This window comes from Homo sapiens, chromosome 8 (genome assembly GCF_000001405.40).
Source record: "Homo sapiens chromosome 8, GRCh38.p14 Primary Assembly".
Lineage (NCBI taxonomy): Eukaryota > Metazoa > Chordata > Mammalia > Primates > Hominidae > Homo > Homo sapiens.
In genome coordinates, this window is record NC_000008.11 from 95,055,916 (window position 1) to 95,081,950 (window position 26,035).

Here is a 26,035-nt window from a genome sequence, read left to right on the forward strand (position 1 = left end):
ATTTCCCTGCCACTGCCTTCATTTTTAGGTAGCTCTCCTCAATTTTGTGCATATTATTTCCTTGCTTTTATTCCAAGAAGTCTTTCATCATTTTATATATTCCTGAACAACATATTGCTTAGTTTTGTTTTTGAGCTTTATAAAAACGGATCATTTTCTATTGATGTCTTCTAGGACATGTACACACTCTTAATGTTTCTGAGATTTGTACATATTACTGTATCTACCTATAGTACCTTCACTTCACTGTAGTATAATATTAATATTTCATTGTACAAACGATTCCTCTTTTTTTCGATCAAAGAATTTCTGGATTGTTTTTTTTTTTTTGAGATGGGGTCTCTGTCACCCAGGCTAGAGTGCAGGCTCACTGCAGCCTTGACCTCCCAGGCTCAAGACATCCTCCCACCTCAGCCTCCCAAGTAGCTGGGACTGCAGGTGTACACCACCACAGTCAGCTAATTGTTTTTGTATTTTTTGAGAGATGGGGTTTTGCCGTGATGCCCAGGCTAGTCTTGAACTCTTGAGCTCAAACAATCCACCTGCCTCGGTCTCCCAAAGTGCTGGGATTACAGGCGTGAGCCACCACGCGTGGTCTCTGGATTGTTTCTAAGTTTCTTCCTAATACAAAACAAGGCAGCTGGGACATTGATGCATGTGTCTCCTGTTGTCTGTATATGTAAGTTTAGGGTTTTAAAAAGTAGATAATGGCCGGGTGCGGTGGCTCATGCCTGTAATCCCAGTACTTTGGGAGGCCGAGGAGGATGGATCACGAGGTCAGGAGTTCAAGACTAGCCTGGCCAATGTGGTGAAACCCTGTCTCTACTAAAAACACAAAAAATTAGCTGGGGATGGTGTCATGCACCTGTAGTCCCAGCTACTCTGGAGGCTGAGGCAGAAGAATCGTTTGAACCCAGGAGGCGGAGGTTGCAGTGAGCCGAGATCATGCCACTGCACTCCAGCCTGGGTAACACAGCGAGACTCTGTCTCAAAAAAAAAAAAAAGTAGATAATGAATTTGTTTGTATTTCACTCATATATTTATAAAAGTATAGGAAAAAAAAGTCTGGAAGAAAATATTTTTTGTTTTTGTTCTCATCTGCATATTCTAAAGAATCTATAGTCATAATCCCTGCATTAATCCCCCAGGTTCTGTGCCGCAGAACTCTAGGGGGCGCTGCTTATGTGGACGAGGAGGTCTCGTGCCGCTTAGAAAGGTGGAGCACAAAACTAAGTGACCTGCCTGTTTAACAAAAATGTTATTAAAATGAAATAAAAATTTATAAATTAATCAAGACAATTGAAAGCCAAAAAAGAAAGATACTGCACATCGTTGGTGTTTTCTATCCTGCTGCTATCCTTGTAAAAACTTTGTCAAGTTTTTTGTGGTGGGGAAAGGATGGGGTGATAATTTTGCCTGGTTGAAAATCATGTGCTCTAGCAACAACGTGGAGACCTGTTCAACTTCTTCACAAAATAATTTCTTAAAAGACAACTTGAGCTCCCCCTCATGGTACACTACATTTGGGGGGTCGGGGTGGGGATGTTTCATTTTCCCTGATTGAAACAGCCTGTTTGCATTCCACCAAATCTAGTAATAAGGCCAGGCAAACGTGATTTTGCTAATCCTTTTGTCTTAACCAAAGCTTTTTATATTATGAGCAGAAGAGGCTTGGCTTTTCTGGTACTAGCTCTGTGATACCCTTTTACTGGTCTAATAGAAACTTCTTGGATGTCTTTTTCTTTCTCTCTTTTAAAATTCTCACTTAAATAGAAAACCATCTCAGGGAAACTAAAATAGCCTAAATACTTGTAATTATTCTTTAGTTAGTTTTTTTTTTTTTTAAGTCTTGATCATTTTATGATCTGGTGATCACTATTCTCTTTTTTCCAGGTTTCTCTAGAGGACTTTCTAAAGAAAATTCAGCGAGTGGATTTTGATATATTCCACCCATCTTTACAGCAGAAGAATACATTACTTCCATTATATTTGTATATTCAGTCATGGAGAAAAACATATTAAAATAATTTCATGGCATTGATGTTAATTCTAGTCTATTAGTTTTATAAAAGTTAGGATTCTTATTTAGGAACAACAGGAAATGACTGTTAAGGAGAAAATGAATTTATTGAATGGGATGTCAAGTAGCTCACAAAATTGAGAAGTTGCCGTGGGACTAGGGTGCCAAGACTGCTGAGATTCTGGCAGAGGCACTGCCATTGGCACCCCTGGCCCAGACAGTGTCTGCTGTGCTGTCCCTGGAAGCTGGAGCTCCAACAGGGAATATTGGTGTAGCTGTGCATAGGCCATAAGCCACACTTGAGCCAGTGGGCAGGGAGAAGGAATGTCATTCTCCCTTCACCACTGGGGAAGGAAAGGGGAAAGGGCTCAAGTTATCATAGGGGCTTACATGCTGAGCAGCTATAACCTAGGTGTTCAGAACACCTGGAAGATGCATTTATTTAGGGGTCACAAATAGTGAAATTAATATTTGAGGAATATCAGTCACGTGTTGTGGGCTTTTATCCTTAACGTTTAATTTTTACAATCTTGTGTAAAAATTTATCCATGATAATAACATAACTTCTTTAAGGTTGGAGTGGCTGGCAAGAGCAGAGCCTTAATTTGACTTTAGCTCTGGCTGGTCTGGAAGCTTTTACTTTTTTGTTAATCCCACTTCCTCACTCTGTCATTCAGCATTATCATGATCGTGAACAAAATTGTACTGAGAAAGTTTGTATAAGTGATATGAACGGTATTGTATTGAACATCCATTAAAGGGTTGCTACACTTTATACTGTACATTCTGCGCTATACATTGTGCTTCCCAGTGATGAGCACTGTGCTGTATACTTGCATCAGTGTTCTCATTTGGTTTTCCTAAAAACCTGTGAAATGAGGCACATTTTTGTTCATTAAACTTTTAAATTGTTTGAGACCAGCCTGGGCAACATCCAAAACCCCATCTCGACCAAAAATACATAAACTAGCCAGGTGTGGTGGTGCACGCCCAGCTACTAGGAAGGCTGAGGTGGGAGGATTACTTGAGCCCAGGAGGGTGAGGCTGCAGTGAGGCATGAGTGTACTCCATCCTGGGTAACAGAGCAAGACCCTGTCTCAAAGACAAACGAATAATAATTAATAATAATATAAAACTTTTAGAAAATGCATCCCAATTGGAAAAACCCAAATTTTTTACATTGCTGGTAATCGGTCGATCTGACTCTAAATGAATCTCACTCTCAGGACCAGGATTATGCCAGTTTCCTTTTTCCTGTATTTTCAGTAGTCTTGTCTCCTGCCCCATTCGGCTCTCTCATTTAAGTCTTTGGTATCAGCTATGAATTAGTGCCTACTTAAATTGTGAGTGGCTTAAAATGTTACATTTTTGCAAATTCAAACTGAGAGCTTTTGGAGCACAAGAATGCATTGTTCATTCATCTTGACATCACCCCCACCACACACCTAGAATGGCTTCTGATTGAGAGCAAGTAGAGATTAATAAATATATAGTTGAATGAATGTGCAATGTGGTTGTATATGCTAGTAGACTCTTAGTTGGTACTGATGTTGAAAGTAGATCCCCTTCTTTAATTCTGTGGCTTTCGAGAGCCATTCAGCTTATCTTCAAATGAAAATACAAGGAAATGGGGCCGGGCGTGGTGGCTCATGCCTGTCATCCCAACACTTTGGGAGGCTGAGGCGGGTGGATCACCTGAGGTCACGAGTTCAAGACCAGCCTGGCCAACATGGTGAAACCCCATCTCTACTTAAAATACAAAAATCAGCCAGGTGTTGTGGTGGGAGCCTGTAGTCCCAGCTACTCGGGAGGCCGAGGCAGGAGAATCACATGAACCTGGGAGGTAGAGGTTGCAGTGAGCTGAGATCGTGCCACTGCACTCAAGCCTGGGCAACAGAGCGAGATTCCATCTCAAAAAAAAAGAAAAAAGAAAAAATACAAGGAAATGGGACATGTTTCCTCTTGGGATTCTGAGTGATCCAGGGTTGAAAAGTTCATCAGAGAGTCTTTGTTAGGGAGCATTGTCTGCAGGTCTTCCCAAGTTAAATTTGGCAGCAATCATCTAGGCGTCTTGGTTCCTTTCTAAGGGTCTTAAAAGGAGGGTTTAATTACGCGACTGGATTAGTGGATTCTTTGCTGGCTCAGAAGCCAATTTATTAAGTAAATAATTTCAAAATACTTTCTAAACCATTTTAAATTTGATGCTTACAGATTTGGATGAACTAAAGTTACCAATCTAGAGATTCAAGTGGAGTCTTTATCAGTGAAATTTACTGTACTATTAATTTCCTGGTGTAAAAGATACTCCCTTAGATGATGCTGGCATTCTTTTTGATTTTTTCAAATCTCTGGGTTTTTATTAGAATATTTTAAAGGAGTCAGATACATTTTCAAACCATTTTAGATGTGCTTTGTTGTTGAATAAGTGGATAGCAGATAACATATTAAGTATAAATTACAGATTATTCTCAATGTAGGTAAAGTTGCATATCATTATGAAATAAGTTTTGGGTAGTTCTCAATTGGCAATATTCTTTCTCTCCTTGTGGTTGAAGCTCTCCTTTTGATGAAATTGAATTCTTGAGAAATGTAACTGTAGCTAACACTTATTGAACACAAACTCGAACAGGTGGTGTACTTCGCACTTTTATGCTTTAACTCTCATAGTGAAGTAGGCCTTTATTTTCCAAATGATAAAACAGTCTCAGAGATGTTAAGTTCAAGGTCATGGAGGCATTAGTACTAGAGCTGGATGCCAGATCCACATTAGTTCAATGCCAAAGCCCAAAGCCCATTATTTTTTTACCATTCTTGAGATTGTCAAGTAAACTGCCAAGTTTAAAAGCTCAAAGGCACATTTTTTAGAAATAAGTATTACTGCTTAAATTTCAGATACAAATTAGGTTAAAAAAGGTAATTACTACATAAGTTCCAACTACAAATTAGGTGAGAGAGAAATAGACAATCGAAATAGGTGTTAGGTGCTGGTCACTGGGTGTATATGGTGGGGGAGTGTGGGGGGATGCTTCACCGGCTTGGCAGTCAAGGTTTCCCAGAGGAGATGGCATGTGAATAGTGTCAGGAAGATTGGGTAGGACCCAGGGCTTGGGGAGGGGTTGTTGACGTTTTTGTGGGGAGGTCCTGGCTGAAGAAGCAGTGTGTACAAAGGCCAGGAAACGGAATGGATGGTCTATGTCAAGACTCTTGATTTTTTTGCCTTTAACTTATGTAAAAAGAACAGAATGTTCAGAGTTCTTAGGAAAGTTTGTGAATAAAGTGACCACATCCCCTGATCTACTGAAACACTGAATTAAGATCAGAGACTTGCGAGTTTGTATTTTTTCCATTTCAGCAAATCCCTAGGTGCCCTTGGATTTGTTTTAGCTCATATAAATTGGACTTTTCTGAAGATATTGGCTTAATCGATTGCCTTGTCTAGAAAGATCCTTACAGTTGTAAACATTATGTGGTTCTTTACTGAAAATAAAACAAAACATCCTACTGTTTGTTCCTGCAAGGAACACAGGTCCAGAATTGGGAAGGGTGTTGGAAATGGGTCAGAAGGAGGGGAGAAGAGTTGAGGGAATGCATTAAAATAATTTTGACACTTCATTTTACCTACTTTTTTCTATAATGAATGTATATTTTTTGGAAAACTACAAAGTTATTTCTTAAAAGTTAGGACTCTCCAAATGAGAAAGATGCTTGTAGAATGCGAAGGTGATTAAATTTATGGAACAATAAATAGATAGGTAGACATTCATTTTCTATCCTATCAGTATATAGTAGTTAAGAGTTTGTTCAGCAAAAAGGAATATTTGGCACAATAAATTATTTAATATGTAACTCATTCTGTAGTATACGCTGAAAGATACAAAGAGTTATTAGCTACAGGACAGTAGAGTATTGTACAGTGATGTGAAGTACTTTTAAGAGTGTGGGCTGGGCGTGGTGGTTCATGCCTGTAATCCTAGCACTTTAGGAGGCCGAGGCAGGTGGATCCCTTAAGCCCAGGAGTTCAAGACCAGCCTGGGCGACATGGCAAGACCCCATCTCTACAAAAAATATAAAAATTAGCTGGGCATAGTGGCAATGTCTGTAGTCCCAGCTACTCCGGTGCCTGAGGTGGGAGGATTGTTTGAGCACAGGAGGTGGAGGTTGCAGTGAGCCAAGCAAGATCGCGCCACTGCACTGCAGCCTGGGCGACAGAGACCGTGGCTCAAAAAAAAAAAAAAAAATTGTGTTTGGACTCCAGAGGAGCCTGTGTGGGTTCAGTCCCAGCTCTGCCACCCTAAGAGTTGTGTAACCTCAGCAAGTTACCCCAAACCTCTGTTGCTCCATTTGTAAAATAGGCAAAATCATATCAACCTCAGTGGTGGTTGTGAGGAATAAGTGAATTTCTCCATGTAAAGTGCTTAGAATAGTGACCTACATCTAGTAAAAAACACACGTTAATATTGTACAAAAGACACAGACTGGAAGCCTGAACCAAATTAGGCCTGCAGGCATATTTTGTTTTGCAAGAGTGGCATTTGAAAAAGAATGAGAAATTGAATGTTTTAGACAGGATGTGTCCTCTCCAATTGGCCACAGGTCCAGGCATGAGCTATTATCTCAAACTCAGCCTGACTCAAACATTCATGTTACTTGCTTACTCTAAATACTTGTGCTTGTGACCAATTGGTTCAGGAAAATTGGTGAATGGTAGATAAATAACAAGGGATCTGCAATTTGAGGCTGACTTCACAAAGCACAGCCATGCTTTCTCCCAAAATGCCTGTTGTCTTTTAACTAGTTAGACATTTCTCCCTCACTTAGCCATATTACTTGAGTGTAAGACAATGTTTTATTTGTCTTTGTATACCCAGAACCTAAAGTAGATCCTGTTGCTGCTCCAAAAATCTTTGTGGTTCGAATGAACATGCTGTAGTATAATGTGGGCTGGGGGCTCTCAGGAAATGTAAATGGGGATTCTGTCTGATGTGTGAAGTACAAACTGGATATGAGAAAGATGGAACTGGAAGAGTCTGTGTCAAAGCTGTGGTGTCTGGGCAACACATGGGACGTTCAAGAAACCAGGTTGTTAAGTACAGCTGGAAAGCAAAGTGAGGAAGAAGTGAGGCTGGAAGGATAAGGAAGTCATAGGCCACATTAAGGTGTTTGGATTTTAAGAGTGACATGAGATTTGAAAACAAGCACTTCTCCACAGGTGGTCCATAACACATGTATTTTGTGTATATCCTAATGGAGATTATCTACAATGTTTCTAATTTAATCATATCTTTAGATAAGCAGTGCCTTTTGAATCAGATATGAGATAGAATGTTTTTATTGTTATTTGATAACTCTGTGGGTTGACATTTTACTCCCCTCCACAAATACTGTTTTCCTGTAGTGGCTCACGCCTGTAATCTCAACACTTTGGGAGCCCGAGGTGGGTGGATCACAAGGTCAGGAGTTTAAGACCAGCCTGGCCAACACGATGAAACCCTGTCTACTAAAAATACAAAAATTATCCGGGCATGGTGGCAGGTGCCTGTAGTCCCAGCTACTTAGGCGGCTGAGGTAGGAGAATCGCTTGAACCCAGGAGGCAGAGGTTGCAATGAGCCGAGATCGCTCCACTGCCCTCCAGCCTGGGTGACACAGCGAGACTCTGTCTCAAAACAAAACAAAACAAAACAAAAAAACAGTCCTGCCTTGGTGTACTCTGTTTTCCCTTTTATTTTTAATCACGATTAATCTTCCCAGCTGCTTAGTTATATAATAATATCCTGTGTGTTTAAACACAGGCCTACATAATGAATTTCTCAGGGAGTAAGTTCAAGAGCTTTTTTTTTAAAACCTCAGGATCTCTTTTATGGGTGTCACAAGGATTCTTTAGGAATACAACATTGATTTGAGAAGCTATTTTGCTATGTCCTATATTTGTTTCTTGCTGCAGTTTTTTTTTTTTGAGACGGAGTCCTGCTCTGTCACCCAGGCTGGAGTGCAGTGGCGTGATCTCTGCTCACTGCAAGCTCTGCCTCCAGGGTTCACACCATTCTCCTGCCTCAGCCTCCTGAGTAGCTGGGACTACACGTGCCCGCCACCACGCCTGGCTAATTTTTTTTTTTTTTTTTTTTTTTTTGGATTTTTACTAGAGACAGGGTTTCACCGTGTTAGCCAGGATGGTCTCGATCTCCTGACCTCGTGATCTGCCCGCCTCAGCCTCCCAAAGTGCTGGGATTACACGCGTGAGTCCCTGCACCCGGCCTCTTGTTGCAGTTTTATATGATGTCAGTTTTCTAAATTGATTAAGAAATTTCTCAAGTTAATCAACATAAAGACGCTGCCTGCACCCCTTTCTTGTAAGTTGTTCCATTTAAGATGTTAGAAATAGATCTGTTTGAATCTTGCTTTGAGGGAATTTGTAATACACTCTTTCTTAAGAGGTCATTTGAAAAATGAATATGTTTATTTTCTTCTTACACAACTAACTCCCATGTGTTCATTGCAAAAATCATGGGGGAAAAAATAAACACAAAAGTGTAAAGGGAAAATATTTTAAAAGTCACCCATAATTTCACCAGGTAAGAGATAGCCACTGTGATATTATCATTTATTCGTGTGTGTGTGTGTGTGTGTGTGCGCGCGTGCGTGTGCATGATTTCTGGCTCATAACTCCCATAGCCCTTGTTACAGTCTTTTGTTATAATGTTGGAGTGCTTTAGGCCTCAGAAGCAGGCCTCGGAAAACAATCTCTCTGACCTTCTGCTCTCCCTTCACCTGCTCCTTTTTTTTTCTCAAGGCAAGACTCTAATCTTCCCTCACCTTTCTGATTGTGGGTGATAAGACTCCCATTTCAGAAGGGGTGCTGCCTCATACGCTGGGGGAAGGAATGCTCCTCAGAGAAGCCAAGAAGAATCTAAACGGACGGGCCTTGCTGGGTTTCCTCAGTCTACGAGCTTAGATCATACCCTTTTTGTTCATTCATATTTCTGCACAGTTGTCAATTATGCCTATCCAATGAAGTCTCCATAAAAGGCCAAGAGAACAGGGTTTGGAATGTCCAGATAGCTGAACATGTGGAGGTTCCTGGAGGGTGGAGCTCCCAGGGAGGGCATGAAAGCTTCATGCCCCTTCCCCCATATGTCACCATGCAGCTCTTCATCTGTATCCTTTATAATTAGCCAGTAAACAAGTGTTTCCCTGAGTTCTGTGAGCCTAGGTATTAGCAAATTAATTGAACCCAAGGAAGGAGTCATGGACACCCCAATTTATAGATGTTTGGTCAGAAGCACAGGTAAAACAACCTTGGGCATGCAATTGGTATGGGAAATAGGGAGCAGTCTTGGGGCCTGAGCCTTCAACTTGGATCTGACGCTATCTCTAGGTAAATAGTGCTGGAATTAAATGGGAAGTCCCCTGGCTGGTGTCCGCTGCAGAACTGCTGGCTTGCTGGTGGGGAAAAATTTCCACATATTTCTACTGACAACCACTATTAACGTTTTGGTCTATGTCCTCCTCTATTTTTTTCCCCCTTGGCATACATATAAGTACATTCTACATATTGTTTTTTAGTCTACATTTTAATTTAGTAATATAATGTAGAAAAGAAGAGATTAGAAAAATATTCTTAATTTTTCTGTAGAAGATGTTTTATTTAGTGGGAGTATGTTCTTTTCTCTTATTTTGCAGTTATAATCCAAATGTACTTAAGGCCTCCCAGCCTTATGAGGTCTACCTTTCCTTTAATAACCAAATAAAGTTGCTTAAGCCACCATCCCATGGAATATTCTCTGAAAAGCCAGCATAACCTTTGCTAGTATTGATAAGGATTTTTAGGGTGGGATAGAACATGGGATTTATATACTTCTGTCACTTCTAGGTATAGTTTCATTTGCCTTTATTATGGGTGAATTTGAGCACCTTTTATATATTTAAAATCCATTTGTTTATCCTTTGATTTAGTTCTTTATATTTGTCCCCTTGAAGTTTATAAAACCTTTTCTCCCACGATTTCTTTTAGTACTTTCATGTTTTCATTTCTTGCATTTAGATCCACATGGAATGAATTTGAAGCAAGGTGTGAAGTATGCATCCACAGATGGTTGTCCACTTAAGCCAATACCATCAGATTTGAAAAGCCATTCTGAGCATATATCTGTACTCAATTTCTATATATATCTGAGCCTGAAGGGTATTTATTTTATTTTGAGAAATGGGGTCTCTGTTACCCAGGCTGTAGTGCAGTGGAGTGATCATGGCTCACTATAACCTTGAACTCCTGAGCTCAAATGATCCTCCCACCTCAGCCTCCCAAGTAGCTGGGTCTATAGGCATGTGCCATCATGCCTGGCTTGCTTGCTTGCTTTTTTTTTTTTTTTTTTTTTTTGAGAGACAGGGTCTCACTATGTTGCCTGGGCTGGGCTCAGGTAATCTCCCTGTCTTGGCCTCTCAAAGTGCTGGCATTATGGGTGTGAGCCACTGTGCCCAGCATGAAGGGTATTTTAAATAAAGGAAATCACTTTTAAAAAAAAAGTTCTCCTAAAACCCTTTTATTAAAAATAAAAACTCTGAAGTGGGTAGTCACTCTTCACTTGATCATTTTCATAAATCTAGGTTTTTTAAATCATTGTCTAAAGTGGGGTAGAGTCTAGGAAAATCAAATTTCAGTCAATCCCTTCAGTTCTCTCTTTCACTGTGTTTAATGAGAATGAGAAAAATAAGGCATTTTCTCTTTTTGGTTTCCTTTTTTGTTTTCCTCCTTCTCCCTCTTCTAACAGTGAAAAGGCAGCAGAAACAAGGAAGACGATAAATTCAAGGCTTTGATAAACCACACTGCAAGTTAGCACGCTTCTGAGCAAAAATGACACATTCCATAGCTCTGAATCATCTTGACTATCCATTTTGTTTTTATTCTCTTGGTTTTGGACAGGTCCAAACTAAAACATTTTTAGTTTGTTGTCCCATCCAGTTTCCCGATGGGTTACCTCAGATGTGAACCATAATAACCAGGAGAAGTGGCATGCTGGGCCCAGGGCCCAACTGAGGAATGTGAGGCCAACTAATAACTTAGCTCCTTCTAAACTAATATCCATTCAAAGAAATTTTCAAGTCTCATTTAATGTGGATGGAGCTGGTGCCAGGGAGGACTATTTATTGAGATCTTAATTCACAAATGTCTCAAAGCAGTTTAAAATGTTCTTGATGTTACGTAATGAGTTAGAAACCTGTCCAACCACATACCAGATGCATGGGCTGGGGCTGGGACAAGTTACTTGACCAATCTGGACTTCCATTATTCATGACTCCAGGAGCTCCTTCACTCATGAACTGTGTACCTAGACAGAGACACAGCTCAGGGCAGGCATTTTTATTACCTTTGTGTCCCAAGGAGAGGGCCTCCTTTTTTGAGAGGCATAGCATATGGGACAAGAATGTGGTTCTGCAGCTGGGCAGCTTGGGTTTATATGCTGGCTCCTCTACTGCCTACTGATTGACCACTAGCAAGTTATTATATTTAACCTCTCCGTGCCTTCATTTTCCTGCCCGGGGCACTGTCTTCCTAAATCTGTCTTGGTGAAACCAGTTTTAGCTGGCTGTTCTAATAGCCACCTAGCAGGGCTAGGGGGAGCAAAGTCCAGCTTCAGCACTTGGCCTCTGTCCACACGGAGGGGAGGGGCTCCTGGTTACTGCTGGGCAGGGTGGCAGTTCTGGATTCCCACTAGACCTCGTTACTGTTCCTTATGGCCTCCACTGACACCATAGGGAGGTGGCTTCATTGTCACTGGGCTATGGTGAAAGTCCTGACTCTCCACTTGGCCTCCTCTGACACCACCCCAGCAGGGAGGTGGAGGGACTGCCTTGTTACAGCTGTGAGTGGGTGGAAGTTCAGGCTCCCAGTGTGGTCTCCGCTGACACCATGGGGGTGGGAGCCTTTTGTCAGATGGGGATGAAAGAACCAGCTCCCTGTGGCTTTTGCGATACCACACCAGTGGAGGCGAGGCCCCTTGTGATAGCCTGGACTCCCACACCCTTGGGTGGTGTGGGTGGGAGTGGACCATAGGTTTTTCTGTGCTATTTAGCTGGAGTAAGTTGTTACTAAGAGTTTTCTGTTTTGTTAGGCTGCCCCTGTCCTAGTCCTTTGTCTAGAGAAACAGGCTTTTGTTGGGGATTTTTTATTTGCTCCCGTTGGCATTTCTGGGTTGCCAGCTCCTTTATCCCAAGTCTGGGGTACAGGAAACTCATCACCAGGTTGTTCCTTGGATCGCAAAGTCCCTGGCCAGTCTGCTTTCTTACCACCTTTCAGCATCTTCTTATGCATGTTTATACATAATGTCCAGGGTTTTAGTTGTACTTAGTGGGAGCAATAGGGAAAAGTATATCTACTCCATCTTCCTGGAAGCAGCACCAGGATATCACTTAAAAATACTATGAATAGTTGGCTTCATGTTTTTGGCATTGTACAGAGATCCATTTACTGCTGGTATGCTGAATCCCCCACTAGAACAGTGTCTGCACATGGTAGGAGCTGAATAATATTCACTAACTGAGTGAATCCCCATTTCACAGATGAGAAAACTTAGGGAATCAAGTAATTTTCCCCAAATCACACAGCCAGCAATAGGAAGAACTGGGGTTTGAATGTGGGCAGTCTGATTCCAAAGCTCAAGCTCTCAGAAGCATCACTGGGGCAGTCATGAAATTCAAGGCCCCTTTTGTTCTCTTAGGACAATGAAGGAGTGAGAGGGCGCTTCCACTTGAGACAGTAACAACACGACACTTTTCTACTGAATTAAGAATGAATGTCCTTGCGTTCTGCGAGCGAATGCCCAAGGCTGTCATCTCTCCTTCCATTCATTGCCAAACTTTCTGCCTGGTGTCCTAATTACTCCATAATTTCTGTGCAAATGGGGTTCCACTCCAATTTCTTTTCTGCAGCTGCCTTTTTTTTCAGCCCCAAAGACCAAATTCAATAGTGTCTTTCCTAATTCTCATCCTTTTAGGTTTTTCTGCAGTATTTCCTAATGTTGTCTACCACTTCCCAATCTTCCTACTCTTGACTCTGCTTTCTTAGTTTGCCCTCCATCCCTCTGATTGCTTTCTGTCATCTTTCTTCAGCCATCTTCAAGCTGGTGGAATTCCTCAAGAGTCCTCCTTTCTCTTCATTGTGCACAGTCTCATTGTCAGTTCATCTAAGCTCACTTAGATGACTCAACACTCACTTATTCACTCACTGTTCATTTATTGAGCACCAGGCACTGTTCTGTATCCATGAACAAGGTAAACAAGGTGGCTGTTCTCATGGAGCTTATATCTAATGGGAGACACAGAGGTAAACAAACAACAACAGTTATGGAGCACATAGCATATCAGCAATATTAATCACACTTGTAAACTTTTGTATGCATAATCCCAATTATCTGTTAGATTTAAAAACTACGGGGGGTAAGAGTTGCATTATCTACAGAAGACTACTGCTACCACCTTATATGCACTCGTATGATGGTTTGCTTTAAAGCTCTGCTTTCACATAGTTGGTCTTTAAAAATTCTATTGAATTAAAATTATAAAATATTGGCTCGGCATGGTGGCTCACGCCTGTAATCACAGCACTTTGGGAGGCCAAGGTGGGAGGATTACCTGAGGTCAGGAGTTCAAGACCAGCCTGGTCAACATGGTGAAACCCCATCTCTACTAAAAATACAAAAATTAGTTGGGCATGGTGATGGGCGCCTATAATCCCAGCTACTCGGGAGGCTGAGTCATGAGAATCGCTGGAACCCGGGAGGCAGAGATTGCAGTGAGCTGAGACCATGCCATTGCACTCCAGCCTGGGTGACAAGAGTGAGACTCCGCGTCAAAAAAAAAAAAAATTATATATATATATATAAATATATATATATATAATATATATGTATAATATTATTTTTTTCCAAAGATCTTAATTCACAAATGTCTCAAAGCAGTTTAAAATGTTCTTGATGTTACATAATGAGTTAGAAACCTGTCCAGCCACATACCAGATGCATAGGCTGGGGCTGGGACAAGTTACTTGACCAATCTGGACTTCCATTATTCATGACTCCAGGAGCTCCTTCACTCATGAACTGTGTACCTAGACAGAGACACAGCTCAGGGCAGGCATTTTTATTACCTTTGTGTCCCAAGGAGAGGGCCTCCTTTTTTGAGAGGCATAGCATATGGGACAAGAATGTGGTTCTGCAGCTGGGCAGCTTGGGTTTATATGCTGGCTCCTCTACTGCCTACTGATTGACCACTAGCAAGTTATTACATTTAACCTCTCCGTGCCTTCATTTTCTCATCTGTAAAATGGCCTAGTGATAGTGCCTACTTCCTAGAATTATCATGAAGGTTAAGTTAGTTAATAATTGTAAAGTGCCGAAAATAGTGGCTGGCACTTACTAAGTGTACATATGTGTTTGCCATTTTAATCTATTTATATACATACTGTGTCACTTTCAGAGAAAACCAGGTCACTAGATTTTATCTTTTGGAATATTGCTAACATTAAGCTTTGAAATTTGATATTTTCCATCTTGGATGCTTTAAGATTTCAGGTTATCAAACAAATTTAAGAAAGTAAACACATTTTTACTTCTTCTAACTTCAGAGAATGAGCTTCTAAAAATGAGTGTTGAGTTTCTTTCCACTTTGGATTATGAAATTAAAAAGATATACATAAAACAAAACAAAAATCACATAAAAATCCATGAATTCAGAAGCTATATTTGAAATAAACAGGCTAGATGGCAGATAATATATACTAAAACCATTAACGTCACACATAAGGATTATAATATATCAACAACTTCAAGCTGGGCAGAGAATTTCTGGTATCACAGTTCACTTCTATGGGTCTTTGCTTTGCAATTCAACTGAAATTAAAAACAGAAAAACTCTCTATTGGTTTTGAAGCATATCTCCCATGATTTTTTTCCTATTCCCCTCCCCTCCCCGAGTCATCTGCCCTTTATTACTTGCCTTGGTCAGAGGGAGAATATAATTTTAGAAAAACACAAGCAGTAAAAAGCAATTTCTATACCAAGGAAATAATAATGGTGATAATCCAGATCACATAGAAATTAAATCTACTTTCCTAAACAGTAAAACCAGCTAGCTTTGCATGTGTTCATACCATATGATTAATATTAAAGCATAAGGCAACCGGCCGGGCGCGGTGGCTCAAGCCTGTAATCCCAGCACTTTGGGAGGCTGAGGTGGGCGGATCACGAGGTCAGGAAATCAAGACCATCCTGGCTAACACGGTGAAAACCCGTCTCTACTAAAAATACAAAAAAAAAAAAAATTAGCCGGGCATTGTGGCGGGCGCCTGTAGTCCCAGCTACTCGGGAGGCTGAGGCAGGAGAATGGCGTGAACCTGGGAGGTGGAGTTTGCAGTGAGCCGAGATCTCACCACTGCACTCCAGCCTGGGCGATAGAGCGAGACTCCGTCTCCAAAAGAAAAAAAAAAAAAAAAAAAAGCATAAGGCAGACACTACCAGCACTGCACCCTCATTAGCCAGCCAGCTTTGCAGACTCACCACCCCCACAGGCTGTCCTGGAGGTTCCTACGCCTGCAGTGGGAGCTAAGAGGTCAGCTGTTGCCCCAGAGCCGACCCCAGTAACCTTTGCAGCTTCCCTGAGGGCTTCAGGGACCTGCACCCTGTTTAGTGGGCACAGAGAAAATGGCTCATGTCCTGGAAATACCCAGCCTGGCTCCATTGGGCTGTAAGTAGTTCCTGGCAAAATTCCTCATTAGGTAACAATTTGGATGGTGGTGGAGATGTGTCCCTCCTACTTTACCCAAGAGGTGGTAGCGGTGTGGCCTGTGGGAATTTTGAGGGCAGCGGGCAAAAGTCATTCCAGTCCCAGGGCTCAGCTCCAGCAGCGCCCAGGGGCATCTCAGAAGCAGCTACATCATCATCTGTACCACCCCACGCCCTGTGCTTGTTTAGGGCTGAGATCCTATTGGGAGGCATTTGGGGAGGAGGTGAGCTGCGCTGGCAGAAGGTTCAGGGCCGGTCACTGGGGATTTTCCTGCCACTCACATCCCCTTCTTTCAAGTCTTCTTTAACTCTGCACAGATGGGAGTAACAGAAGATGCTGGTTTCCACCTCATCATTTTTTACCTTCTCACCCCCAGAAATTAATCTTCGCATAAACCTCAGGACCAGCACAATGCCTGTCTCAATAAAATGTTAGTTTCCTTTCCTTCTGTATCTCCTGCCTTCCCCTTCCTGGCCACCTAAGACACAGGGCCGTTATGTTGCGGTGCCCTACTTCGCAGCACCCCCAGACCTGCCCAGGGCTGCTCCCCATGCCAGAACCCTCCCTGTCCCCTAAGAACCTGACTATCCTTTGTTTCATTCCCTAAAAGCCTTACTTTTCAAGGCTGAGGCTGCAGCATCCTTTATACTGGTATACACTTTCATGTTTACAAGTGTCATTGGGCATCTACTGGTACTCATCTTAGTTACCCTTGTAACAGAGCCCTTAGATGTCAAACCAAAGCAGTGACTGACACTGAGATTTGTGGCTGCCTGGGTAGGTAGAGAAGAGAGAGAGAGTAGAGTTGACCATGTTTCTCAGCTCACAAGTTCCTATGATGGCTTGGAACCCTGACCAGCATTTTCTTCTGAAGCAACACCCTCGTGGTATGTTCAGCCTTTTTCTAGATCTCTCCAAGACAGAGAAATACTTGTTGCTCCTGCATTGAGGTTGGGCAGATGGGCATTACTGGGGCACTAGTGGCCAAGTTGCCCTGATCCACCCACCTGAGACCAGGTATGTGTGTGGTGGTGCAAGCCACTGCTTTTTCAGGCTGGTGCTGCTGGATGAGAAAGTCCCAAAGTTCTATCATTGAAGGAGCAGCACAAGAGTGAGGACAAATACCTTCACAGGCAGCAAGAAAGTGGTACACAGCAGGGAGGGCAGTGGGCACCTGGGGGAAGAGCAAGGCCCGAGGAGTGAGGGGAAGCAGGCCAACCTCGACGATCTCCTCAGCACCTGAACGCCAAGGCTGGGGAGATCCTCGAGGTTGGCCTGCTTTCCCTCCTTTTCTTACAACTTCTGGAGAAGCGTCAGCCCTCTGCAGGGAGGCGGCCAAGCTGGCAGGCGAGTCGGCGAGGGTGTCATTGCTTATATGGCTGCGGGGACCGAAGCTAGGAATAGACGCGCTGAGGGCTAGGAGGGCTCCGACCGGACGGAAGGATGCCGCATCGCGGGTCGCTGCCCGGAGCTGTGCGAGTTCGGTGCTCAGCCCCAACGGCGCTTTAGGCGGGTCCCCTAGGTTCTCGCCCTTGCGCGCGCAGCCAGGACAGTGTTTCTGCGCTTCCTGAGGCCAAAGCGGGTCTCCCCGTTTTTTCCTCTGGGGATGCCAAAAGCCACTGGAAAAGACAGGAAGCTGTCGCCCCGTCGCATTCTCAGCAAGATGAGGCCGAGTAGGCAGCGCCACCTCTCCCGAGCGCCCGCGCCCCGCTGCCCCAGCCGGGGAGGGACTGGAGGTGAAGTCGCAGGTGCGCTCCCCAGGGAATATCCGGGCTCGCAGACCACGCGGCACCGCCCCCGCCTCGCCCCGCTGCTCCTCCTCCCCCATTCCAGGTGTCTCCTTTTCCGCTTGCCCCTTAAACGTCCCCCTTCCGCAGGGGTCCTGCGAACCCCATCCACTGCCATGGCTCATTCTAACACCTTCACTGGGTGTCTTTTTGCATAACACTTAAAATAAAAATGGATCTGAATCTGATCCCGGCTTCCAGCTTACAGGACATGTCGAGGACAGAGGCACAAGTGAAAGTCCACCCAAGGAATGCAGTCAGCAAAGCCACGGTGTGGGGAGCTCTCTCCAGAGGGTAGGGGAGAAACCCAAAGAGTAAAAGAGACTTTAAAACCTGCCAACCAATCCCAACCTGATGTCCTAATTTGAATCCTGATTCAAATCAACTGCTTTTAATGGAAACTTAAAACTTTAGTGGAAATTTGAACCTGACTTGATATTTGATATAAGAAACCATAGTTAATTTTTTAAGGCATGATAATGGCATTGTGCTTATTTTTAAAGGATAGAGTCCTTATTTTTAGAAATTCAGACTGAAATATTTATGTCTGGAATTAGCTTCAAAATAACGCAGGGAGAAGTGGGTAAGGGTTGGGATGGAACAAGGTTGGCTATGATTTGATCGTTGTTGAGGCTGGGTAATGAAAACATGGGAGTTCGTTCTAGAATTATTTCTACTCTTGTATATTTTTAAAATTCTCTATAATAAGGTTTTAAAAAGAAGGAGAAAAAAAAATGGATATATTCCAGCTGATTAGTCTCAACGTTTTCAGGGCCACATACAAGTAGGGCCCTGAAAATATGTTAATTATGTGACTTAAGATCACCTGGGAGTCCTTTTCGTTACTGACTTGTGCGACTTGTGTGGCTCGTGTGCTCTCATGCTTAATTGGATTGGTCTTTAATCTGGGGCCAGGGAAGTGTTTGACCTGTGGCTGAGATTTCCACCTCTCTGCACTTCCCTTCCTGAACACCAACCAAAAGTGGCCCTGGGTTTCTAACCACCTGAAGATGACTTTCCATCTCCTCCAATGTCCTATGTCTAAAACTGTACAGCCTTATGCACTACCTCCTAACTTCCCCATTTCTATGAATAGCAGAGCATTTCCTCTGCCTCTGTCACAGACTAGAAGCCATCTAGCCATTTTGACTTCCCCCTCCTCTTTTCTCTGTCCCTCCACTTAGTCACCAAGTTCTGTGGATTCCTTGTTCACTGTTTCTCAGACTCATCTCTTCCTCTCCACTCTCACTGCTGTTGTCTAATCCCAGATGTGGATTTTCTCTGTTACATTTACTTCCTCACTGGTTTCCTGTCCTTAGATTCCTCCTTCCAGCGATCCCACCTGCCACTGCCCATTGGAGAGCCCTTAGATCAAGGGCCTCATGTTATGATTAGGCTTTGCAAACTCCAAATTCCTTCTTTTACAACCTCAAAAATTTCATTCAAAGAAAGCAGGAATGATTATCAGGCAGCCAGCAACCCCACCCCTCAAATAGAGTCTAACGTGAAAAACATTATTTCTCAATTGGTAAGCAAACACATCCCTCACTGATTGTTGGTAGGTCAACAACGGCCCAGACTTGGACAGCTGACAAGCAGAACCCAGGGTCACAAGGATCCCATTCATGTGGGTCAACAGACAAATGAAAGAGCTCAAATGACAGAACAGTCCAGAGATTCCTGCTGATTTTTCTAGCGTGCTCTAAAATGGAGCAATACACCAGGTTTCTAAACCATGGACACAAGACGTGACAAATGACTTTCAGATATGTGAATTCATTCATTCAGATGAAATTTACAAAAGCATACAATAATGTCATTTTTAGTTATACACTTAAAATCATCTTTATTAAGAAAAAAATACATTAAATAAAATTAGGACCATACAGGAAAATTCAGTCTGTCAGGTCACCAGGGCCAAATACACAGTCTCAAAATGCTTGGAATGAAAACAATATTTCTCTGATGCCCCCAAACAGACATTTATTATTTTGTCAGCCTAGATTAGCACTCCCTTTTTGGAGCTGGGATTTTATCCTCCCCAGGCCAACCATAAGCATCTCTCGGGGCATGGGAATGTTTCCCTAGAATTTTCTAGTTGGCTTGGTGAATAAGTGTCCTCTTTCCTCTCTGCAGGAAATTAAGGATGCAGACACTCAGGGCGTGTGTCTTGCACAGCCAGCCAGCCTGGGAAAATGAAGCCAACTGGGAGAGAGATTTGAAGGACTCTGGTTCTAGGCATGCGCACTTCTCCAGGTACTTGAGCTTGGAAACCTTCTTGCTTAACTAGCTCTAGGCCAATCTTGCTTCACTCGAACACGCACACACTTCTCCTTGCGCTATTTTGAATTACCAGAGGAGAATCTTTGACAAACACAGGTCGATGTTAGTGTGAGCCAGACTGGGCAACTACACAAAATCAAAATCAGGAAAGGAGAGCCACTTTGCTGGAATCTCCCAGAAGGCTGGTGGGGTGGACTCCGGGGCTTTGAAATCTCTAAAGAGTGGTGACTCACCTCTCCTAGAAATTGCCCTGGTTATATCATAAAAGGGCTCAATTTTTACATGAGGTCTCAATGGTCTTTTTACTTAATGTGACATCATTAGAAAAATCAACCTTTGACCAGAAAGAGGCAGTTCCCTCCTTCCTCACACAATTCACAATTTTCTGGAATTATTAATAAAAATTGCGTATCTCTAGGCAGAAGCTCTCCAATGCTAGATTTTTCACTAATATTCACATACAATTTACCTCAAGTTCCTCCTCTGCTCCTGACCTCTCAGGGCAGCTGTGGTACTCACAGGGTAAATTCCAAACACCTCACCCAGGCACTCAGGGCTTCAAGAATTGGGCCTGACCTTAGCCATCAACATCATTTCCCACTCCAGAATGAACACTTTGCCCTGGTCGTGCCAGTCTCTGTATTTCCTTTACATGAGTCCTGCTCACTCCTTTTCCACACCTTGGTGTAAGCTGCCCTGAACTGTCCCTCTTGCCTGTGTTCTTTCTCTTCGTCTTTTTCTTCCTTTTAAAAAATTGAGTGCTCACTGTGTGCCAGTTATGGCCCTGAATGCTGAGTATAAAATGACTCATAGGCCGGGCACGGTGGCTCATGCCTGTAGTCCCAGCACTTTGGGAGGCTGAGGCAGGTGGATCACCTGAGGTCGGGAGTTCGAGACCAGACTGACCAACATGGAGAAACCCCGTCTCTACTAAAAATACAAAATTAGCCATGTGTGATGGCCCATGCCTCTAATCCCAGCTACTTGGGAGGCTGAGGCAGGAGAATTGCTTGAACCCGGGAGGCAGGGTTTGTGGTGAGCCGAGATCGTGCCATTGCACTCCAGCCTGGGCAACAAGAGCGAAACTCCGTCTCAAAAAAAAAAAAAAAAAATTCATAGCACCTGGTTTTTGCCTTTGTTGAGGTCCTAACCCTCAGTACCTCACAGTGTGACCGTATGTGGAGACAGGGCCTTTAAAGAAGTGATTAAGGTGAAATCATATGAGTGGGCCCTAATCCACTATAACTGATGTCATAAGAAGAGGAGATGAAGCCAGAGACGTGCACACATGTGAAGACACCTGGCGAAGATGGCCATCTATAAGCCAAGGAGGGAGGCCTTCGAAAAAATCAACCCTGGGGATACCTTGATCTTGGACTTCTACCTTCCACAACTGTGAGGAATAAATTTCTGTTTAGACTACCCAGCCTGTGGCATGTTTTTATGGCAGCCTTAGTAAATGAATACAAGGGGCTTACAGTCTGGAGAGGGAGACAAATAAGAAAAGAAGCAAGAACAACACAGCCTTGTAAGCACAGTCATTCCCCCTTCTCCATGGGGAATATGTTCCGAGACTTCCAATGGATGCCTGAAACCTTGGATAGTTCCAAACCCTATATATACTATATTTTTTCTATCCGGTAACTGAGATGACTAAGTCACTAACTAAGTGACTAAGGGATAGGAACGTCTACAACGTGGAGATGCTGGACGAAAGGATGATTCATGTCCCAGGTAGGACAGAGCGAATGGCAGATTTCAGAACTCAGAACAGCATGCAATTTAAAACTTACAAAGTCTTTATGTCTGTGATTTTCCATTTAGTACTTTCAGATGCAGGTGACCATGGGTAACTGACACTGCAGAAAGCAAAACCTTGGACAAGAGGGCACTACTCTACCATGACAGGAGAAGCATAGAACTCTCAGTTGTGGGAGACGAGGAGTAGTGTTAGGACATTTCCCAGGGGGATGTTATTCTGGGTTGTAAAGGTCATGAGAAGTGCCTGTCCCTCCAAGGGTGCAAGGGTGACCAGAAGCAAGCTCTTAGGCATGGGTGGGCTTGCTGTGGATCTCATCATCCTGCTTCTACATGAGCCAAAGGCAAGCCAGTCTAGGTGCATGGCCAGCCCCCCGAGATGGAGCTCATGGTGAGGGACCAGCCAAGTCAATCACATCTGCCTTGGTAGATGGAGCCAGCAGCAGGAAAAGAAGCTGAGAGCCGCGGAAGGAAGGTAGTGAACAGCAGCCACGGGACCACAGATATGAGGCCACTCATAAAGCAGACCCAGGAGGCAGAGAAGAGGCTAAACAGTGAGCCTGGGACAAAGGAGCCCATGGAGAGAATCAAAGGTGGAGATGGAGGCCACAGGCATCATGGGGCCACTGGAGTGGAGAGAGTTTCAGAGGGTTCTGGCTGGGGTCGGTCCCCTGAGGCATGGCTCTGCAGCTGATATGCTTGCATGCATTGAGTGTGGAGAACTTAGTGTGGAGAACTTCTGTGGTTTTGGCAAATGCATAATGTCATGTATCCACCACCACAGAATCATGCAGAATAGTTTCACTGCCTTTAAAAAAATCCCAGGCTGGGCGCAGTGGCTCATGCTTGTGATCCCAGCACTTTGTGAGGCCAGGGCAGGAGGATCGCTTGAGCCCAGAAGTTCAAGATCAGCCTGGGCAACACAATGAGACCCTGTCTCTACAAAAAGAAAAAGAAAATTAGCCCGGCATGATCACACTCACCTGTAGTCCCAGCTACTCCGGAGGCTCAGTGGGGAGGATTGCTTGATCCCAGGAGTTTGAGGCTGCAGGGAGCTGTGATTGTGCCACTGCATTCCAGCCTGGGTGACACAGTGAGCCCCTTTCTCTGTTAAAAAAAAAAAAAATATATATATATATATATATCCCCTGTACTCCACCTATTCAAGCCTTCCCCTCTTCCCCAGAACCTCTGGCAATCACTGATCTGCTTACTGTTTCTCTAGTTTTGCATCATTTCGAATGTCATATAAATGGAATCATACAGTTTGCAGGCTTCTCAACCTGGTTTCTTTCACTTTGCAGTGTGCAGTTCAGATTTGTCCATGTTTTTGTGTGGCTTGATAGCCCATTCTTTTTTATTGATGAATAATGCACGCAGGCATCCATTGTATGGATGCACCACAGTTTGTCTACTCACCTATTGAAGGACATCTTTTTTTTTGTTTTTGTTTTTGAGAGGGAGTCTTGCTCTATCCACCAGGCTGGACTGCAGTGGTGTGATCTTGGCTCACTGCAACCTCCATCTCCTCTGTTTAAGAAATTCTGTCTCAGTCTCCCGAGCATCTGGAATTACAGGCATGTGCCACCATGGCCGGCTAATTTTTGTATTTTTAGTAGAGACGGGATTTCTCCATGTTGGTCAGGCTGGTCTCAAACTCCCAACCTCAAGTGATCCGCCCACCTCAGCCTCCCAAAGTGCTGGGAGCCACCGTGAACCACTGTACCTGGCCCTATTGAAGGACATCTTGATTGCTTCCAGTTTGGGGCAATAAATTCTTTTTAAAATAAAATATTTTGTAAAATTTGCAATACATAAAAAACATTAAGGATATCTTATTAGACTAAATCTACTTTGTAAATGCCCAAGAATAGCAGGTCTTTATTTTTAAGTACATCACTGAGATAAGTGAGGTTGCTTTGATCAGAGAGCTCCATGATTTTGGTTTTCTTTTAGTTTCAGTACCCATGACATTCCATTCAAAGGTTTGTGGAATCACTAAGTCTCTAAAGATGAAAGTTTGAAAACCATTGAACTAAAGAAGATTCAGTGAGAAAACTGGATGAGAGAAGGAGGAAATTTATTGACAACAATTAAACTATAGGACCAAACTCTTAATAGAGGAAAATAAAAACTGATTCTTGAAGGAAGAAGAAATAACTTCATTTTAATTTTTTTAGACTTTTTTTTTTTTTGAGACAGGGTCTTGCTTTGTCGCCTAGGCTGGAGTACAGTGCTGCAATCTCGGCCCATTGCAACCTCCGTCTCCCAGGCTCACTTGATCCTCCCACCTCAGCTTTCCAAGTAGGTACCCACCACCACGCCTGGCTAAATTTTGTATTTTTTGTAGTGATTTTTTGTAGTGTATTTTTGTAGTGTATTTTTTGTAGTGATTTTTGGTAGTGTATTTTTGTAGTGTATTTTTTGTAGTGATTTTTTGTAGTGTATTTTTGTAGTGTATTTTTTGTAGTGATTTTTTGTAGTGTATTTTTGTAGCGTATTTTTTGTAGTGATTTTTTGTAGTGTATTTTTGTAGCGTATTTTTTGTAGTGATTTTTTGTAGTGTATTTTTTGTAGTGATTTTTTTGTAGTGTATTTTTGTAGTGTATTTTTTGTAGTGATTTTTTGTAGTGTATTTTTGTAGCGTATTTTTTGTAGTGATTTTTTGTAGTGTATTTTTGTAGTGTATTTTTTGTAGTGATTTTTTGTAGTGTATTTTTTGTAGTGATTTTTTGTAGTGTATTTTTGTAGTGTATTTTTTGTAGTGATTTTTTGGTAGTGTATTTTTGTAGTGTATTTTTTGTAGTGATTTTTGGTAGTGTATTTTTGTAGTGTATTTTTTGTAGTGATTTTTGGTAGTGTATTTTTGTAGTGATTTTTGTAGTGTATTTTTGTAGTGTATTTTTGTAGTGATTTTTGTAGTGTATTTTTGTAGTGTATTTTTGTAGTGATTTTTGGTAGTGATTTTTGGTAGTGTATTTTTGTAGTGTATTTTGGTAGTGTATTTTTGTAGTGATTTTTTCTAGTGTATTTTGGTAGTGTATTTTTGTAGTGATTTTCGGTAGTGTATTTTGGTAGTGTATTTTTGTAGTGTATTTTTGTAGTGATTTTTGGTAGTGTATTTTTGTAGTGTATTTTTGTAGTGTATTTTTTGTAGTGATGGGGTTTCATCATGTTGCCCGCTGGTCTCAAACTCCTGGGCTTAAGCAATCCTCCCACTTTGGCCTCCCAAAGTGCTGAGATTACAGGCATGAGCCACTGTGCCCGGCCAAATGACTTATTTTCTTTTCTTGGAGCAAGCTGTTTGAGCACAGCAATCGGAGCCTTAGCTTTGGGCCAAGCTGTGTTATCCCAGGATTTGATGCTGGACCCTTGGGCCAATATGTCTCAGTTCACCCACTGTGCTCTCACCCCATGTTAGCCCACCTAGCCTCGTACTCAAGGACAGAGTGCTGATCTTCCAGCTTCTTCATGTATCCTTTCTACAAATACTGAGCCTGCATGTTGATGGCTGCACTGTCTTAGGCTCTGGGAACAAAAGAGTGAACAAAAGTCAGCACAGGTTCCGCCCTTTGGGAGTTTACATGGAGTCCTGAGTCCTGCATCTTTTTTTTTTTTTTTTTTTTTTTTTTTTTTTTTTTTTTTGAGGTGGAGTCTTTCTCTGTTGCCCAGGCTGGAGTGCAGTGGTGCGATCTCAGCTCACTATAACCTCTGCCTCCCAAGTTCAAGCAATTCTCCTGCCTCAGCCTCTCAGCCTCTGGAGCCGTTGGGACTACAGTGCACTACCATGCCCAACTAATTTTTGTAGTCTTAGCAGAGATGGGGTTTCGCTATGTTGGCCAGGCTGGTCCCTAAGTCCTGACCTCAGGTGATCTGCCCACCTCTGCCTCCCGAAGTACTGGGATTACAGGCCTGAGCCACCGCGCCTGGCTAGTCTTGCATTCCTCATTCTAAAGATCTAGGTCCCAGCCCACCTTCTTTGTCAGCTTACTCAGCTATCCTGATACGCTGATTGGTGGCCTTAATGATGAAGGATGATGGTAGAGGAAAACATTTAATGACCCACGGACTCCGATAATACTCAAGAGCACAAATACAAAGAAATTAATCAAGGGAAGAGAGAAATGAAAATACTACATTTCAGTGAGAGTCTAGTAAAAAGAAAAGCATAATGTTTTTCCCATCCAAGATCACAGAACCCCTGAATTTTATCCATGCATCTTAGTTTAAGAACTCCTGTTGGGCCGGGCGTGGTGGCTCACGCCTGTAATCCCAGCACTTTGGGAGGCCGAGGCGAGCGGATCATGAGGTCAGGAGATCAAGACCATCCTGGCTAACACGGTGAAACCCCATCTGTACTAAAAAATCCAAAAATAAAATTAGCCGGGCGTGGTGGCGGGCACCTGTAATCCC

The 26,035-nt window shown here is 42.9% G+C and overlaps 1 protein-coding gene, 3 long non-coding RNA genes and 2 other non-coding genes across 32 annotated transcripts in view, besides 1 other annotated feature; 3 read left to right on the plus strand and 3 right to left on the minus strand.

Annotated features, from left to right (window-relative positions):
* NDUFAF6 (NADH:ubiquinone oxidoreductase complex assembly factor 6) overlaps positions 1–26,035 on the plus strand; it is a 222,698-nt gene that overhangs the window by 160,117 nt on the left and 36,546 nt on the right. For 22 of the 26 annotated variants that reach the window (NR_148910.2, NR_148912.2, NR_148911.2 and 19 more), the window contains one exon: positions 1,894–2,795. Coding sequence is in view for 20 of the 26 variants with exons in the window: in NM_001354514.2 (NP_001341443.1) it covers positions 1,894–2,022 (129 nt within the window). In the remaining 6 variants the exon portion in view is untranslated. Of the gene's footprint in view, positions 1–1,893; positions 2,796–19,717; positions 20,899–26,035 lie in introns of those variants that run through there. The other 4 variants (NR_148914.2, NR_148913.2, NR_148915.2 and 1 more) reach the window with 2 other exon arrangements.
* Positions 8,189–9,783, plus strand: LOC124901981 (uncharacterized). The gene is made up of 2 exons (XR_007061014.1): positions 8,189–8,368; positions 8,809–9,783. It is a non-coding gene; the product is annotated as an uncharacterized LOC124901981 (long non-coding RNA).
* MIR3150BHG (MIR3150B host gene) lies at positions 10,893–17,267 on the minus strand. Of its 2 annotated transcripts, none has more exons than NR_132986.1 (2): positions 17,014–17,267; positions 10,893–13,320 (listed from the first exon to the last, which is right to left on the minus strand). It is a non-coding gene; the product is annotated as an MIR3150B host gene (long non-coding RNA). The 2 variants fall into 2 exon arrangements; NR_132987.1 differs by lacking the exon at positions 17,014–17,267 and adding an exon at positions 16,802–17,005.
* LOC124901980 (uncharacterized) lies at positions 14,734–16,338 on the minus strand. The gene is made up of 2 exons (XR_007061013.1): positions 15,831–16,338; positions 14,734–14,902 (listed from the first exon to the last, which is right to left on the minus strand). It is a non-coding gene; the product is annotated as an uncharacterized LOC124901980 (long non-coding RNA).
* On the minus strand, positions 16,996–17,081 carry MIR3150B (microRNA 3150b). The gene has a single exon (NR_037484.1). It is a non-coding gene; the product is annotated as a microRNA 3150b (primary transcript).
* On the plus strand, positions 16,999–17,078 carry MIR3150A (microRNA 3150a). The gene has a single exon (NR_036105.1). It is a non-coding gene; the product is annotated as a microRNA 3150a (primary transcript).
* Positions 17,474–17,573: a silencer, noted in NCBI's record as "silent region_19379". NCBI's record gives its function as "represses an Ori minimal core promoter by ATAC-STARR-seq in GM12878 lymphoblastoid cells {active_cell/tissue: GM12878}" and the evidence as "EXISTENCE:reporter gene assay evidence [ECO:0000049][PMID:35858748]".